At 39.0% G+C, this 14406-nt stretch overlaps 1 protein-coding gene and 1 pseudogene across 2 annotated transcripts in view, besides 3 other annotated features; both read left to right on the top strand.

The window, feature by feature from the left end:
• Nucleotides 1–14406, top strand: part of UBR5 (ubiquitin protein ligase E3 component n-recognin 5) — a 160428-nt gene that overhangs the window by 16829 nt on the left and 129193 nt on the right. The window lies entirely within an intron of this gene.
• Nucleotides 746–825: an enhancer, noted in NCBI's record as "active region_27752". NCBI's record gives its function as "activates an Ori minimal core promoter by ATAC-STARR-seq in GM12878 lymphoblastoid cells {active_cell/tissue: GM12878}" and the evidence as "EXISTENCE:reporter gene assay evidence [ECO:0000049][PMID:35858748]".
• Nucleotides 2877–3171: a silencer, noted in NCBI's record as "tiled region #4694; HepG2 Repressive non-DNase unmatched - State 19:H4K20". NCBI's record gives its function as "represses a minimal TATA promoter and a strong SV40 promoter by Sharpr-MPRA in HepG2 cells {active_cell/tissue: HepG2}" and the evidence as "EXISTENCE:reporter gene assay evidence [ECO:0000049][PMID:27701403]".
• Nucleotides 7237–7346, top strand: LOC124902086 (uncharacterized; annotated as a pseudogene).
• Nucleotides 11179–11228: an enhancer, noted in NCBI's record as "active region_27751". NCBI's record gives its function as "activates an Ori minimal core promoter by ATAC-STARR-seq in GM12878 lymphoblastoid cells {active_cell/tissue: GM12878}" and the evidence as "EXISTENCE:reporter gene assay evidence [ECO:0000049][PMID:35858748]".

Raw genomic sequence — 14406 nt, 5'->3', positions numbered from 1 at the left:
GTTGCTCTTGTTTTTTGGAAATGCTGTTTATTAGGTCCTAGTACTGCCACATGCTCAATGAGAAACTTTTTAACTTCTGTTTTCCAGGAAACCCATTGTTCTGTGTATTAGACTGTAATAGATATTACCTTGTGACTTGACACTGCTGAATAGAATGTTTTGAGATGTTTCATCAAAACTTTACACCAAGGACGATTTTAGGATTTTATTTTATAGCTGAGGAAACTGAGGGCCGGAGTGCTTAGATTAGTTAAGTGGCAAAGACTCCACCCTACATTAACTTAGCCTTATTGCTTTTCCTTTGAAAAGGGTAGAGGAAGTTACTTGTTTTTCTATGTGTGTGTGTATGTAATTATATATTAATGTGAACACACACTGTTTGTGTGTATGTATGTTTGTGTATATATGTAATTATAAATATGAATACACTGTGTTTGTGTATATGTAAACAGGTACGTGTGTGTGTGTGTATATATATAAATAGATATATGTGAAATCATTAAAAGAGTGTTTATTCAGCAAGATTTGGGGGCGTCTGCTGCCTGTCAGTTCTAGTCTTGGGTGTCTGGTGGTGGTGTTTGGTTCATGAAAAAGAGACAGTTACAGGACAGTGTGACAAGTACAGTGAAAAGGGAAAGTTCAGGATTCTTCACTAGAAGCACCAGTTCAGTCTTGGGCAGGGGAAAAGCTTACCTGAAGAAGTGTTGAAAATGAGAATAGGGATTGTGAATGAAAAGGAGGTAGGCTGAGAGAGGCTGGTGGGAGAGCTGTAGGATGTAGGACGTAGGACAAGGTGTTAAGAACTGGAAGAGCTCCCTAGGCAGAAGGAACAGCACATGTGGAGACCGTGAGAGACTGCTGTGTATTTGAGGAACTAAAAGAAGCCCAGAATGCTTAGACTGATGAATACATAGAGTTTCAAATCAGTTGAATAATGTTCTTGTAGAAAAGGATACCTTGTTAATTATCTTCAATAATGACTTTGGTCATATCATGATCAAGTAAATAAGATGTGCTAGGCCATAAATTGGCCATAACTGGTTAATGTAGTTGGTTAGGCTTAGAGTAATGGAACCAATGCACTAAGGAGTGTGAATTCCATTTTCCATGTAGGCAAGTTGCTTGATTTTGTGGCTACAAAGAATGTACTTCACCTCTCTCCAGCCAAGTTGTTGGTGTTTGCCATTGTTAATGAGGATGATCAAGCTTGAATGGATGATTCAGTTCAAATGCCTCACTGTTATTGGGAAAAAACTGCAGATCTTTTGGAGAAACCAGTAGAATCACGGAGCTGAATAAAAGACAATGTGTTTTTCTATCTAAGAGGTGAAAAAGTCTATGATATTAACTGTGGTAAAGACTAAAGTTTCATAAGTGCTAAAACAAAATGACGGTATACTTGCCTCTGGGTTATGGTTGATTACTTTTGATATTTCTTGATATGATTTTGTATTTTATATACTTCTGTATATGAGTATATATTATTTTAATAATAGAAAAAGAATAAATTCTGGCCGGATGCGGTGGCTCGCGCCTGTAACCCCAGCACTTTGGGAGGCCAAGGCGGACAGATGATGAGGTCAGGAGTTAAGAGACCAGCCTGACCAAAATGGTGAAACCCTGTCTCTACTAAAAATACAAAAATTAGCTGGGCGTGGTGGTGTGCGAATGTAATCCCAGCTACTCAGGAAGCTGAGGCAGGAGAATGGCTTGAACCCGGGAGGCAGAGGTTGCAGTGAGCCGACTGTGCCACTGCACTCCAGCCTGGGCGAGGGCGAGAGTCCGTCTCAAGAAAAAGAAAAAGAATAAATTTCTAGGAAAGTGTTTTAGCTTATTTAACTATTCACCTAAAATAAGAACGTGAAAATCATTGAATAAAGAATAGTAATTTAGTTTCACCTAAAATATTTTTTCCTCTAGAAACTTTTTATTGTTATTTTTTAAGACAGAGTCTTGCTCTGTTGCCCAGGCTGGAGTGCAGTGGCAGGATCTTGGCTCACTGCAACCACCGTCTCCCTGGTTCAAGCAATTCTTGTGCCTCAGCCTCCAGAGCAGCTGGGACTCCAGGCGTGTGCCACCATGCTCGGCTAATTTTTGTGTTTTTAGTAGAGATGGAGTTTCACCATGCTGGCCAGGCTGGTCTCGAACTCCTGGCCTCAAGTGATCCGCCTTCCTCAGCCTCTCAAAGTGCTGGGATTACAGGCATGAGCCACCATGCCTGGCTCTAGAAACTTCTTAAAAGAAACTTTGCTCTGTCCCCCTGACTGGGGTGCAGTGGCGTGATCTCAGCTCATTGCAACCTCCACCTCCCAGGTTCAAGCGATTCTCCTGCCTCAGCCTCCTGAGTAGCTGGGACTACTGGCGTGTGCTACCATGCGTGGCTAATTTTTTGTATTTTTAGTAGAGACGGGGTTTCACCATGTTGGCCACGCTGGTCTCGAACTCTTGACCTCGTGATCCGCCCATCTTGGCCTCCCAAAGTGCTGGGATTACTAGTGTGAACCACCGCCTGTTGTTTCCGTTTTTACATTCAGAATTAACTTTGGGAGAAGACAACTTGTAAAAAAATTGGAGTAAAATTTAAGCCCTTTTTTTCCCCTAGTAAATTGACCAGAATTTTCATCATAACTTAAATATAAATGAAGATTCCCATAAGTCATTTAAAAAAAATTGACTTAAAGTTTCATTCATTCATTGTTAGTCAACAAATAATTTACTGAGGGCTTGTTTTGGGCCAGACACTTGGACTACATCAGTCAGGAAAACAGGCAAAAATGTCTGCCCCTGTGGAGTTCACATTCTAGTGACAAGATGTTGCATGAAACACTTTTGAAATATGTAGCGTTTAATCTTCATACATTTTATCTATTTGAAATGTCTTATTAAAAATTGTAATCAGTTGAAAATGATGGGAAAGCCCATTGAACTACTATTCTTTGTAGTATCTTTAAGTGATTTATTACACATTCTTATCTTTGGTGCAGTGCTACTCTTTAAACTTGCCTTCCTTCAGTTTGTGCTTGTGAGTGTCATCTGGGAGAGCTGTGGGGAGACCTGATAACAGGCTCATTGTTGCCTTTGCATCCCTAGTGCCTGAGGTACATTAGCATATATCTATATTAAATTAATTTGAACTTCAAAACTAAGCAGAATCCTGTCTTTTTATAAAAACTAGTTCTTGTCACTATATTCTGATCTTTAGGATAAAGAATGAATCAAGCATTGGAAGTTTTTGTTTTTTGTTTTTTGTTTTTTTTTTTTTTTGGTATCTAATAGTCCTGATAACATTGAAAGAGAGCACATTATAACTTTACCTTTTTTTTTTTCCTGTATTTTCTTTAGGAGGCTTTCCTTAAGTGGAGATTCTTGACTGGGAGGTGTGTGTGTGTGTTTGTGTAGCTTTAGTGAGATTTTTATTTTTGTTTTTTCCAGTATTCTATTGTAAACATTTTCAAATATGCAGAAGAATTGAAAGAATGAACAATGAATTATCTGGATAACCTTTTAGAAGGTAGATAGTACCTTCTAGATTCAGTAAATTTTTTTTAAGTGAAAGCAAGTTTATTAAAAAGGTAAAGGAATGGAGAATGGCTACTCCATAGGCAGAGCAGTCCCCAAAGGCTGCTGATTACTAATTTTTATGGTTATTTCTTGATTATATGCTAAACAATAGCATATACCCTAGTAAATAATACACCTGACAGGCCAACTCTCAACAATCACACTGGTAACATATACTGATAGAATGTTATTTTTTGATCTTAATAATAGGGATTATTCATGAGTTTTTCTGGGAAGGGGGTAGGCAATTACTAGGAACTGAGGGTTCCTCCCCTTTTTAGACCATATAGGGTAACTTCCTGACGTTGCCATGGTATTTGTAAACTGTCATGGCACTGTTGGGAGTATAGCAGTGAGGATTACCAGAGGTCACTTACATTGCTCTCTCGATTTTGGTGGGTTTTAGCTGGCTTCTTTACTGCTACCTGTTTTATCAGCAAGGTCTTTATGACCTGTATCTTGTGCTGACCTTCTATCTCATCCTGTGACTTAGAATGCCTAACTGTCTGGGAACACGACCTAGTAGGTCTCAGCCTTACTTTAACCAGCGTCTACAATTCAGGATGGATTTGCTGTGGTTTGAATGCTTCTGACATATTTCCCCCCTCCCTTTTATAAGAAAACATTTAATCCTAAGGATTGTAGATGGAGGAGGATGTATCTTCTGTAACTTCTTGGCTGAGTAAGGGTGATGATATTCCTGCCTAACTTACTAAGATTTTGCTATATTTGCAAAATATGTGTGTATATAAATAACTTTGAACTATTTGAAAGTTGCAGTCATTGTAATACTTCATTTTTAAATGCATGTGCTTGTATCGTCTAAGTATGAACCTTTTTCTATATAGCCACTTTACCATTATCACACTTTATAGGAAATTAACAAAAATTCCCTAATATCATCCAATACTCAGTGTATATTCATTTTTCTCCACCTGTCCTCAAAATGTCTGTGTATAATAGTGGGAATTTTTAAACCAGAGTTCAGTCAAAGTTCACATGCTGCATTTGGTTTCATTTGAATTTTATCGTGGAGTAATTTTTACAAACATATTTGTGGTTTTTCCAAGGGCTACATGTAATCATTTGATGTTGACATTCTATGTTAAAGCACAATTGTCACTTTCAGTTTTCTTTTCTTTGAGACAGGTTCTTGCTCTGCTGCCCAGGATGGAGTGCAGTGGCACCATCACTGTACGCTGCAGCATCAACCTCCCAGGCTGAAGAGATTCTCCCACTTTGGCCTCTGAAGTAGAGGTGGGGTCTCACTATGGTGCCTAGGCTGATCTTAAACTCTTGGGCTCTAGGGATTCTCCCGCCTCGGCCTCCCAAATTGTTGGGATTACAGGGGTGAGCCACCACACCCAGCCTCGATATTCATTGTCTTTTAATTGGTCTGTGTATATGTTTCTTTGTTTCTCACTGACGTGTATGTACGTTTTGTTGAATTTCTCAACATTGCTTTCCCTAGACCTCATGAAGTCTTGTACCTTTTGCAAGATTCGCAACTTCATTTTGCAGATATTTTGCGTTGGACTACATGGTATTGTCAGATTAACATCCTATGACTAGCAGTGGCTTAGCTTCAAAAGATGTGGAAGCAATAGGCCAGTTTGTGCACTTGTTAAATTTACAGGGATGTTCGGAGACCATTTTTCCAAGAGATTAATGGTTGGTGAGGGTTTTGGCTTTGTCAACTTTTGTTTCCTTATGCACTCTCCTGACTGCAGGGATGAGGAAATAACATTCTATCAGTATACATTACCGGGTGTGATTGTTGAGAGTTGGCCTGTCAGTTGTATATATAAAAGTGTGGCTTTTTTTTTTTTTTTTTTTGAGACAGAGTCTCGCTGTTGCCGAGGCTGGAGTGCAGTGGCACGATCTCAGCTCGGCCTTCCGAGTAGCTGGGATTACAGGTGCCTGCCACCACGCTAGGCTAATTTTTGTATTTTTAGTAGAGATGGGGTTTCACCATTTTGGCCAGTTGGTCTTGAACTCCTGACCTCAAGTGATCTGCCCACCTTAGTTTCCCAAAGTACTGGGATTACAGGCGTGAGCCACCATGCCTGGCCCAAAGTGTTGCTTCTTGATGCTACGTAAGGATTGGCTTTTATTTTGAGCAAACATGTACTATTCAGATGAGCCTATGGTTAAATAGATTTGTAAATAAGTATTTGAAATAAATGTTGAAGGAAGTTCATAGATGTAAATTAATAGAAAGTTTTTTTGTTTTTTAAAAAATAATCCTTCTTGGCTGGGCGTGGTGGCTCACGCCTGTAATCCCAACACTTTGGGAGGCCGAGGCGGGCAGATCATGAGGTCAGGAGATCGAGACCATCCTGGCTAACACGGTGAAACCCTGTCTCTACTAAAAATACAAAAAATTAGCCAGGTGTGGTGGCGGGCACCTGTAGTCCCAGCTACTTGGGAGGCTGAGGCAGGAGAATGGCGTGAACCCAGGAGGCAGAGCTTGCAGTGAGCTGAGATTGTGCCACTGCACTCCAGCCTGAGCGACAGAGGAGACTCTGTCTCAAAAAAAAAAAAAAATCCTTAATATTAATAGGAAGAAAATTTGTTTTTTAAATGTAGTGCAGTAAAAGGAAGATGGTAAGGAAGATAGTAAAGATGAAGCATAAATGAGTCTTTAGTCATATACCAATGGAGCCAGGGCCCAAGAAAATGTTGAGGTTCTTTCTTTGTTCATCATCCTGATTTTTTATTGCTGGGCAGTAAACCAACCCAAACTTAATGGGTGAAACAACAATCATATATTATTATTATCTCTTCTGGGAATTGACAGTACTTGGTAGGTGGTTCTTACTCTATGTTTCTCATGTAGTTGCAGTCAAATGCTGGAGTCATGTAGAGGGTGTCTTCATTTAAAGACTCAAAACAACTGGGGTCTGCAACAGCTGGGATTCCTTAGGCATCTCTATCTGTGTAGTCTCTTTATCATGGAGACTTCGATTAGCCAGAGTCCTTAATATGGTAGCTCAGAGTTTCAAAGGCATGCATCCCAAGAAATAAAACCAGGCTGGAATTCCTTTTTGTGACCTAGCCTTAGAAGTTTTGCAGCGTCACTTCTGCCTCATTACCTTTGCAAGAAGCAAGTCATCAGGCTAGCTTATATATGAGGAAGAGTAATTAGACTCTACCTCTTGATGGAAGAAGTATAAAATAATTTATAGATTTCTTTTAAACCACTGTGATCGTTAAGAATAGTGATAATAGTAAAGCATAATTATTTAGAAAGAGATTTGGGTACTATGAATGTTTTAGAAAAGACTGATACCATGTATTTGAAAACAAATTATAAGGACTTAACATTTATGGCATTGGACAGAATAATACATATTATGGAAGTGTAACTACTAACGAACAATTTCCTGAGATAATTATTGAACTCGACAGTTGGTTTAACACCACAGAGGCCCCCTTAAAAGCATCTAGGTCAGAATCACAAGGCAAGTCAATATAAATGTGTTTCTTTGACGTCACTAGTATTACTTACAGTCAGTTGATTGATTAGGTGCATTGTTTAGGAAATGTGAAATATTTGATGTATTCTGAGACTTAAAGATTGAAATGTGAGCTAGCGATTAGTTCTTTACTATGACTCTGCTCAGACTCAGGGTGTATTTTCTATGAAATAGTATTTTGTAAAACCTACTCAGGATCGTTTTGTAGTCTATTATAAGCGTGATGATTGGGTGTTCATATGCATATGTGAGATGTGCCACCCTCAAATCTTGTTATGACGTCATCAGCACGTTACTCTTCTGATACGAAAAAAAGAAGAACCACTCGGCTTCATCATCCGTTTAATTAGTAAGCTTTAGGACTGAATGTTTTCTATTTTCAGAGACATGTCTGCACTGAAATACTACTATTGTGTGTATTCATTTAATAGTTTGCGTGCCTACTGTGTGTCAGGCATTGTACTGGGGACTGGGTATGTAGTGGCATTCTAAAGAAATCTTAATGCCACTTCCAAAAGGAAAACTCCAAAAATCTTTTGGGTGTGGGGCATTATTGTTGAAATAAATGTGTAGCTTGCCAGTATGATTAATACGAAGAAGACACATCTGTTTGCATGTAAAGTTTATTGGAAATAGGGCTTATTATTTCATAGCTGTGCCTAAGAGAGTATTTTGATATTATTTGTGGTCAGTTTTCAAGGGGTTATTAGTCATATGTGCCATTTTTCTTGGGTATTTTGCAGTTTTTATTGAATATGTGATGAACTTGCAGGATCTTTTGTGTGAATGTGAAAAAGAGCGTGTGTTTTACACATGTTTTATACATCACATATTTTGTTTCTAATCAAAAGAGGCCTTATATCTGAAAGCCTTCTTGTTACTCATAAGACAAGGATGTGAGACTAGACAGTTTTTAAGGGTCTGCCTAGGTCTAACAGAGGGGAAGGAATAAGTTCTGGATGGGAAAGTTGGTAGAAATGTTAGCGAAGTGTCAAATTAAGTAGAATTAGTTTTTAGATTTTCTTGAAGCCAAGACAAAAACAATGGCTAAAAAATTACAAAGCTCAGTGTATCACAGAGGAGCTTTTCCTTCCTTCCTTCCTTCCTTCCATTTTTTTTTTTTTTTTTTTTTTTTGACAGAGTCTCACTCTGTTGCCTGGGCTGGAGTGCCGTGGTGTGACCTCTGCTTCCCAGGCTCAAGGGATTCTCATGCCTCAGCCTCTTGAGTAGCTGGGATTACAGGTGCATGCTACCACGCCTGGCTAATTTTTGTGTTTTTAGTAGAGGTGAGGTTTCGGGTTTTACTGTGTTGCCCAGACTGATCTCGAACTCGTGGGCTCAAGTGATCCATCTGCTTCGGCCTCCCAAAGTGCTGGGATTACAGGCATGAGCCACCACCCCTGACCAGGAACTTTTTGTTAATCATGGTTTGATATAAATGTTGGAGAATCTTTTACATTAGAGATATTTTAAAAACCTAATGGACTGTGAGTTTTATAATCGATACAGAAGTTTTATTTATGTGATTATGTGAAATGCTGATAGAAACTGACATTATAGTAAATTATTGTTTTGTGGAGGTCTCCCTTTGGAGACCGAGGAATGTAAGTTTCTGGGCTAGAATTATATAATATTTAGAGGCTGATTAGGTAAATCATGAGGTTTGCACATTTTAAGTGTTATATTTAGCATTGTTACTACGCATGAAGCACTGTGTTTTCCAAACATTGTTTTATTTAACATCCTGACAATGTTGTTGGGGAAGCAATTTGAGTTGAAGGAGGTACTGTGGTTCCCTTGCTGTACAGCTGTGTAGTGGTGGGTCCCTGAGTACAGGTCTTTTTTTTTTTTTTTTTTGAGACGGAGTCTTGCTCTGTCACCCAGCTGGAGTGCAGTGGCGTGATATCGGCTCACTGCAAACTTCGCCTCCTGGGTTCAAGCAGTTCTCCTGCCTCAGCCTCCTGAGTAGCTGGGACTACAGGTGCCCGCCACCACACCAGGCTAATTTTTGTATTTTTAGTAGAGACAGGGTTTCACCATATTGGCCAGGCTGGTCTCAAACTCCTGACCTTGTGATCCGCCTGCCTCGGCCTCCCAAAGTGCTGGGATTACAGGCATGAGCCACCGCGCCCGGCCTATATGAACTAAAGTTTTAAATATTTGTAGATAAAAACAGAATGTCATAGTAAAGGACTGTGCTCCAGCCTTTAAAAACAGTACATTAACTGTTACCTTTTGTCTACGTTAATTTTTTAAAAAACTGTATTAAAATTTTAACCTGTTGGCAGAGGACAGGTTCACTATCATGTATCTTTTCTTCCCTTTTGCATGGGGTTTGATGGAGGAGAGGAGACTATGTATAAAGTGACAGTCTCCGTGCTCATTTTTCTTTTTTTCTTTTTTTGAGATGGAGTCTTGCTCTGTCGCCCTGGCTGGAGTGCAGTGCTGTGATCGACTAACTGCAACCTTTGCCTCCTGGGGTCAAACGATTCTCCTGCCTCAGCCTCCCAGGTAGTTAGGATTACAGGCGTGCATCACCACACCCAGCTAATTTTTGTGTTTTTAGTAGAGACGGGGTTTCATCATATTGGCCAGGCTGGTCTCAAGCTCCTGACCTCAGGTGATCCACCCGCCTTGGCCTCCCAGAGTGTAGGGATTACAGGCGTGAGTCACTGCACCTGGTCTCCATTTGAATATTGAAACAGGGACCACTGTTCATTTTTGAAGCCAGTATGCCATTACCTATTTATGAAGCTCTTGCTTCTCCATCCTTACATGCTAGGGTGTGAGATGGTGGACTATGCACATCATATTAGAATCATATCATTACCATAGTGACACTGAATTGTTTCTATCTTTTATGTGTTTGGGTGAGAAAGTTTGTGAACAGTTAACTAGTCTGTGGTTTTGTGTAAGATTCTAGTATCTTTAGTCAATCCACACAGTACCTACTTTGTACAAAATGCCTGGATGTGCAAAAAATTACAGGCCTTACTTATCCTTAAGGGTAAGCTTACTATATAGTTGGGAAAATAGAAATGTAAAAGGTAGAATAGCAGTATCAGAGATGACACTTCAAAGCAGTAAGTGATTAATTGGAAAATTGAATGGGATTAGCTGGGTGCAGTAGCTTGTTCCTGTAGTCCCAGCTACTAGGGAAGGCTGAGGTGGAAGGATCACTGGAACCCAGGAGTTTGAGAGTTTGAGGCTGTAGTGCATCATGATCGTGTCTGTGAATAGCCACTACACTCCAGACTGGGCAACACAGTGAGACCTGTCTCAAAAAAAAAAAAAAAACAGAGTCAAGAAATTCTGGAAGAGGTCAAAAGAGGAAGTGCTTACTGGACTGTGGTACCTTAATTATACTTTTTGTAGGTATTTTTGATAGGTCACTTGGGTGGGATAGAGGTAATTCTAAATGTAATTTGGAGAAGTTGAGATAACCAGGAATTTGATAGATTCCATGCTTCACATTATTTTTACAGTAAGTATGAAATACAGAACAATTTATACATGAACTTCAGTTATGTCCAGGTATTGAGTTAGTTATGAGATCTATTTTGAATGTCTTTCAGTGCTTATTTTTTATTGGGGTGTAATGATAGATACTTGGATTCACCTTTGATCTCTTCATCCAAAGTGGTACTGATTATAAGTAGTAGCAGTTGTAATAACAGCATTTCTGCATCCCCAAATTCCTTTTTACGCGTCTCATTTAACAGTTTTTCTTTCAGTCAGAAATGGTGATGGAAGAAACAGCAGGAGCAGCTAACATTTTGTACTAGGCTCTGTACTAAGCATATTATGTGCTGTAATACCCTGTTGATGCCAATGTCTTAAGTAAACCTTGCCATCATTCAAATGAATTTCTGTTTCAAATTATTTTTTGGTATGTGTTGAGGGACTCAGTAACCCTTTGTTGGTATTTCAGATTAAAGCTCTTGATTTAGTTTAAAGGTCAGGCCTTTAGGTCTTGATTGTTATGGTTAGAGTTTTTCTTGCTTGTCTGGTCAAGCCAATAACTTGAGAAACTAGTAAGAGAGTTTAGAGAAGTAAGGTCAAGGCCCTTTTAGACTTGCTGGTTTCAGGTGGAACTTGGAACTCCTTTGCAGCTCAGCAGAGCTCTTTTGGTTTTTAAAGAGACTTGTCCCTAAATTTGTGTGTGTGTGTTTTATTTTGGTCTTTGCTCTGTTCCTTGCTCTTCTTCGCCTCAAGCTCCTCTCTTCCACCTGCCCACCAAGTAGCTGTGACTATAGGCATGTACCACCATGCCCAGCTAATTTTTAAATTTTTTGTAGAGACGGGGTCTCATTATGTTGCCCACATTAGTCTCAAACTCATGGACTCTGTGTTCCTCCTGCCTTGGCCTCCCTGAGTGCTGGGATTACAGGCGTAAGCCATCATGCCCAGCCACAGTTCAGATCTTTAGGGCACTCCTGAAGATTTCTGTTAATGTATACTAACCTTTAAAATATTGAAAGATGATTAAAATTGCCCATATACATTTTAAACACAAATAATACCTTTAATATTCTATCACCTTTGAAGAAAAGATGAGAATCATTGCTGTAAAGTTAGTTGGACTAGTGAGCTCTTCATCCAAAAAGGCAGGATTGATTTTTTTGTGTTTGTTTTTTTCGGTTAACTGTTTCAGTGACATTTTAAGGAATTTTGGATCTATTTTGATTGTTTAGAAAGTTCTGTGTCGTTTTCAAAAAGGCTTGTCCCTACTCTTGTTGATATGCCATTTTTTTGGTTTATTAAGATGAAAGCAAATTTATTTTTTGGCTGTACATTGTATTGGCTAGATATATGATTTCTGGTTGGGAATAATTTTTCCTCAAAATTTTGAAGGCATTACATCATTGTTTCATAGCTTCCAGTATCCCTTTTGAGGAGTTCAGTGCTGTTTTGATTCTTTCTGCTTGACATCTCCCTAACCCTATGCCTTATGAACTCATGCCCTGAGATATTTTAGGGTCTTCCTTTAGTCCCTTGTGTTGAGAAATTTCACACTGATGTACCTTGATGTAGGTCCTTTACTCATTCATTGTATTTTGGGTCCAAATATTTCATGGGTCCTTTTATTCTGGAAGCTCGTGTCATTCAGGAAGTTTTTCTTGTTATTTCTTTAATACTTTTCCCTCCCCATCCATTTTATCATTTTTCTCTTTTTGGAATTCCTGGTGGTTGGATGTATGACAACTTCATAGCTACTGTGATTTTCTTTTCTGCCCTGTTTTCCATGAGACCAACTTCTTAAAAAATATTCTGTTAAATATATATATTTTTCTTGTTGGGCTGGTTTCCCCAAAGAGGAATCCTGGCAGGTAAGAGCGTGGCTGTAAGCATTCTGGGATGGGGGCTGATTACTGATTTCAGCAGACAGCTTTCACTTTTTCTTCTGGTCTCTGACACCCCTTCTCCCTCCCACGCCGATTCTGGGTGTATTCCCAGGCTATTAGTACTCTGGCTGAATTTTGCTAAGTAGGAAATGTTTAGCCTCTGGAAGGGGAGCAGTCTCCTGTCTAGAGGGTGGGGAGCTAGGGGTTTAACTAATGCTAATTTCCTTATGCTAATTTCCTTATGCTAATTTCCAACAGTTCCTGTTTTGCGTTACCCTCAGGCTTCAGAGGAATGTGATGCCTCCAATTCCTAAAAATTGACCTGTTCATTTTCGGCTTCCTCCTACCACGTAGGGTTTAGGTTGAAAAGTTTTCTCTTGTCGTGAACTCACTGGCCACTTGTCTGTCGGCTTTCCAGCTTCCAAAATTTGTTGAATGCACTAGCCTCGTCTTTCTCTTTGTCCCTGTAACTTTAAAATTAATTTGTTTTTCAAAATTTTTCATCTTAGTGGAATTGCAGGAGGTATTTGAGATACACATACACTTAACTAGAAGTTACATGCAGGAAAATTATTCCTGTTTTCTCTGAATACACAACTTCTCCATACCCAGTGTGTGTGTCTCTGTGTGTGTGTGTGTGTGTGTGTGTGTGTGTGTGTGTTTTAATGTGATTTTCTCTTTAGCACACACACTTTTCTCATAATCTCTGCTCATGTATCTGTGGTTCTTGGCTGTGGTCCTGTTTGCTCTCAAGGAGAGACTTAAAGCCTGCTTTTGTCTTTGCAATAACTCTACATTTTCCTCCTGAAAATGAGTATCCCAGGATATGCACATTTAACTAACTTATCAAAGTGCACTCAAGCCTTACTCAAGATTTAATTTTGCGAGGCTTCTGTTGATCTTCAGGCTTTAAAAAAATTATTCTAAAGTCACTGTAATCAGGGTTTGTGTTTTCTTTTTGTGTGTGTCTCTCTCTACCCTTGTGTTATATTTCCTTTTTTGAAATGTTTTTCTACTTACTTTGCTTTCACAAGTAGATTATAAACTACTTGAGATGTATGGATTTGAATCAGTGGTTCTCAGCTTTCCTTTTTTCCTGAAGTTTAGGCTTCCTGATGGGTAGGTTACACTGTATTCTGTAACTGTGGCCCACTATTAAGGGTGGTATTCCCGAGTATGTAGAGACGCCCCCTCCACAGGTGATTCTGTTGGTCTCCTCTCCCTGACCTCCTCCCATGCTGTATTTTACAGTTCATTTTATTTCTTGTAAAACCTTATACTGTGGGAATTCAGGAAGTATTTGTTAATTGAATTGGACCCGTGGCAGGTGTGGCATGATGGCAAGGATAGAGGGAAGGTTTTGTCTCATGCCTTCTTTCCCACTTTCCTCTTAACTGAGTAACTACAAGTAAATCACTTCACCTCTGTAGTCACTTGTTTTCTCAAATGTAAAACAAGGAAACTGTTATACCAAAGACTCACTATTAAATGGAAATATCTGTATGTTTCTTTTTCCTGAGATCAAAAAAGTTAAGAAATATTGAACTGTACAATTCTTTGCTGTGGTGCCATTTTCTAAGAAAATCTTCACAGTCCATGATTAGTGAGAAAAAGCTTTTATTTTAGATTGCCTTTTTTCTTTTTTGACTTTTTTAAATTTAAAAACCATCTTTTCTTAAATGTTAGTAATAGTAGTTGTTCTTTTCTGAATCTCATTTGAAAAAATGAAAAGTTGGTAAAATTATATTTGTTCTTATAATTTGAAGGAAGTTTCACTTATCTGTTAAATTCAGAAGTCAGAGATACATGCTTTATACCTTAAAAAAAAAATCTGTGACTCCTCACTTTGGAGGTAGGTTTCTGTATATTCGTTAGAGAAAGGTTATTAATGTTCTTTGTCAGTGTTTCTGCCTTTTACTGATAATTTTGTCTGCTTGAACTGTCAGTATCTGATAGAAGTGGATATGGCTTCTCATCTTGAATTGTGATCCCCATAATCCCCACATGTCAAGGGAGGGACA

The sequence above is a fragment of the Homo sapiens genome, chromosome 8 (genome assembly GCF_000001405.40).
Source record: "Homo sapiens chromosome 8, GRCh38.p14 Primary Assembly".
Taxonomy (NCBI): Eukaryota; Metazoa; Chordata; class Mammalia; order Primates; family Hominidae; genus Homo; species Homo sapiens.
This window is presented reverse-complemented; position numbering and strand designations above follow the sequence as displayed.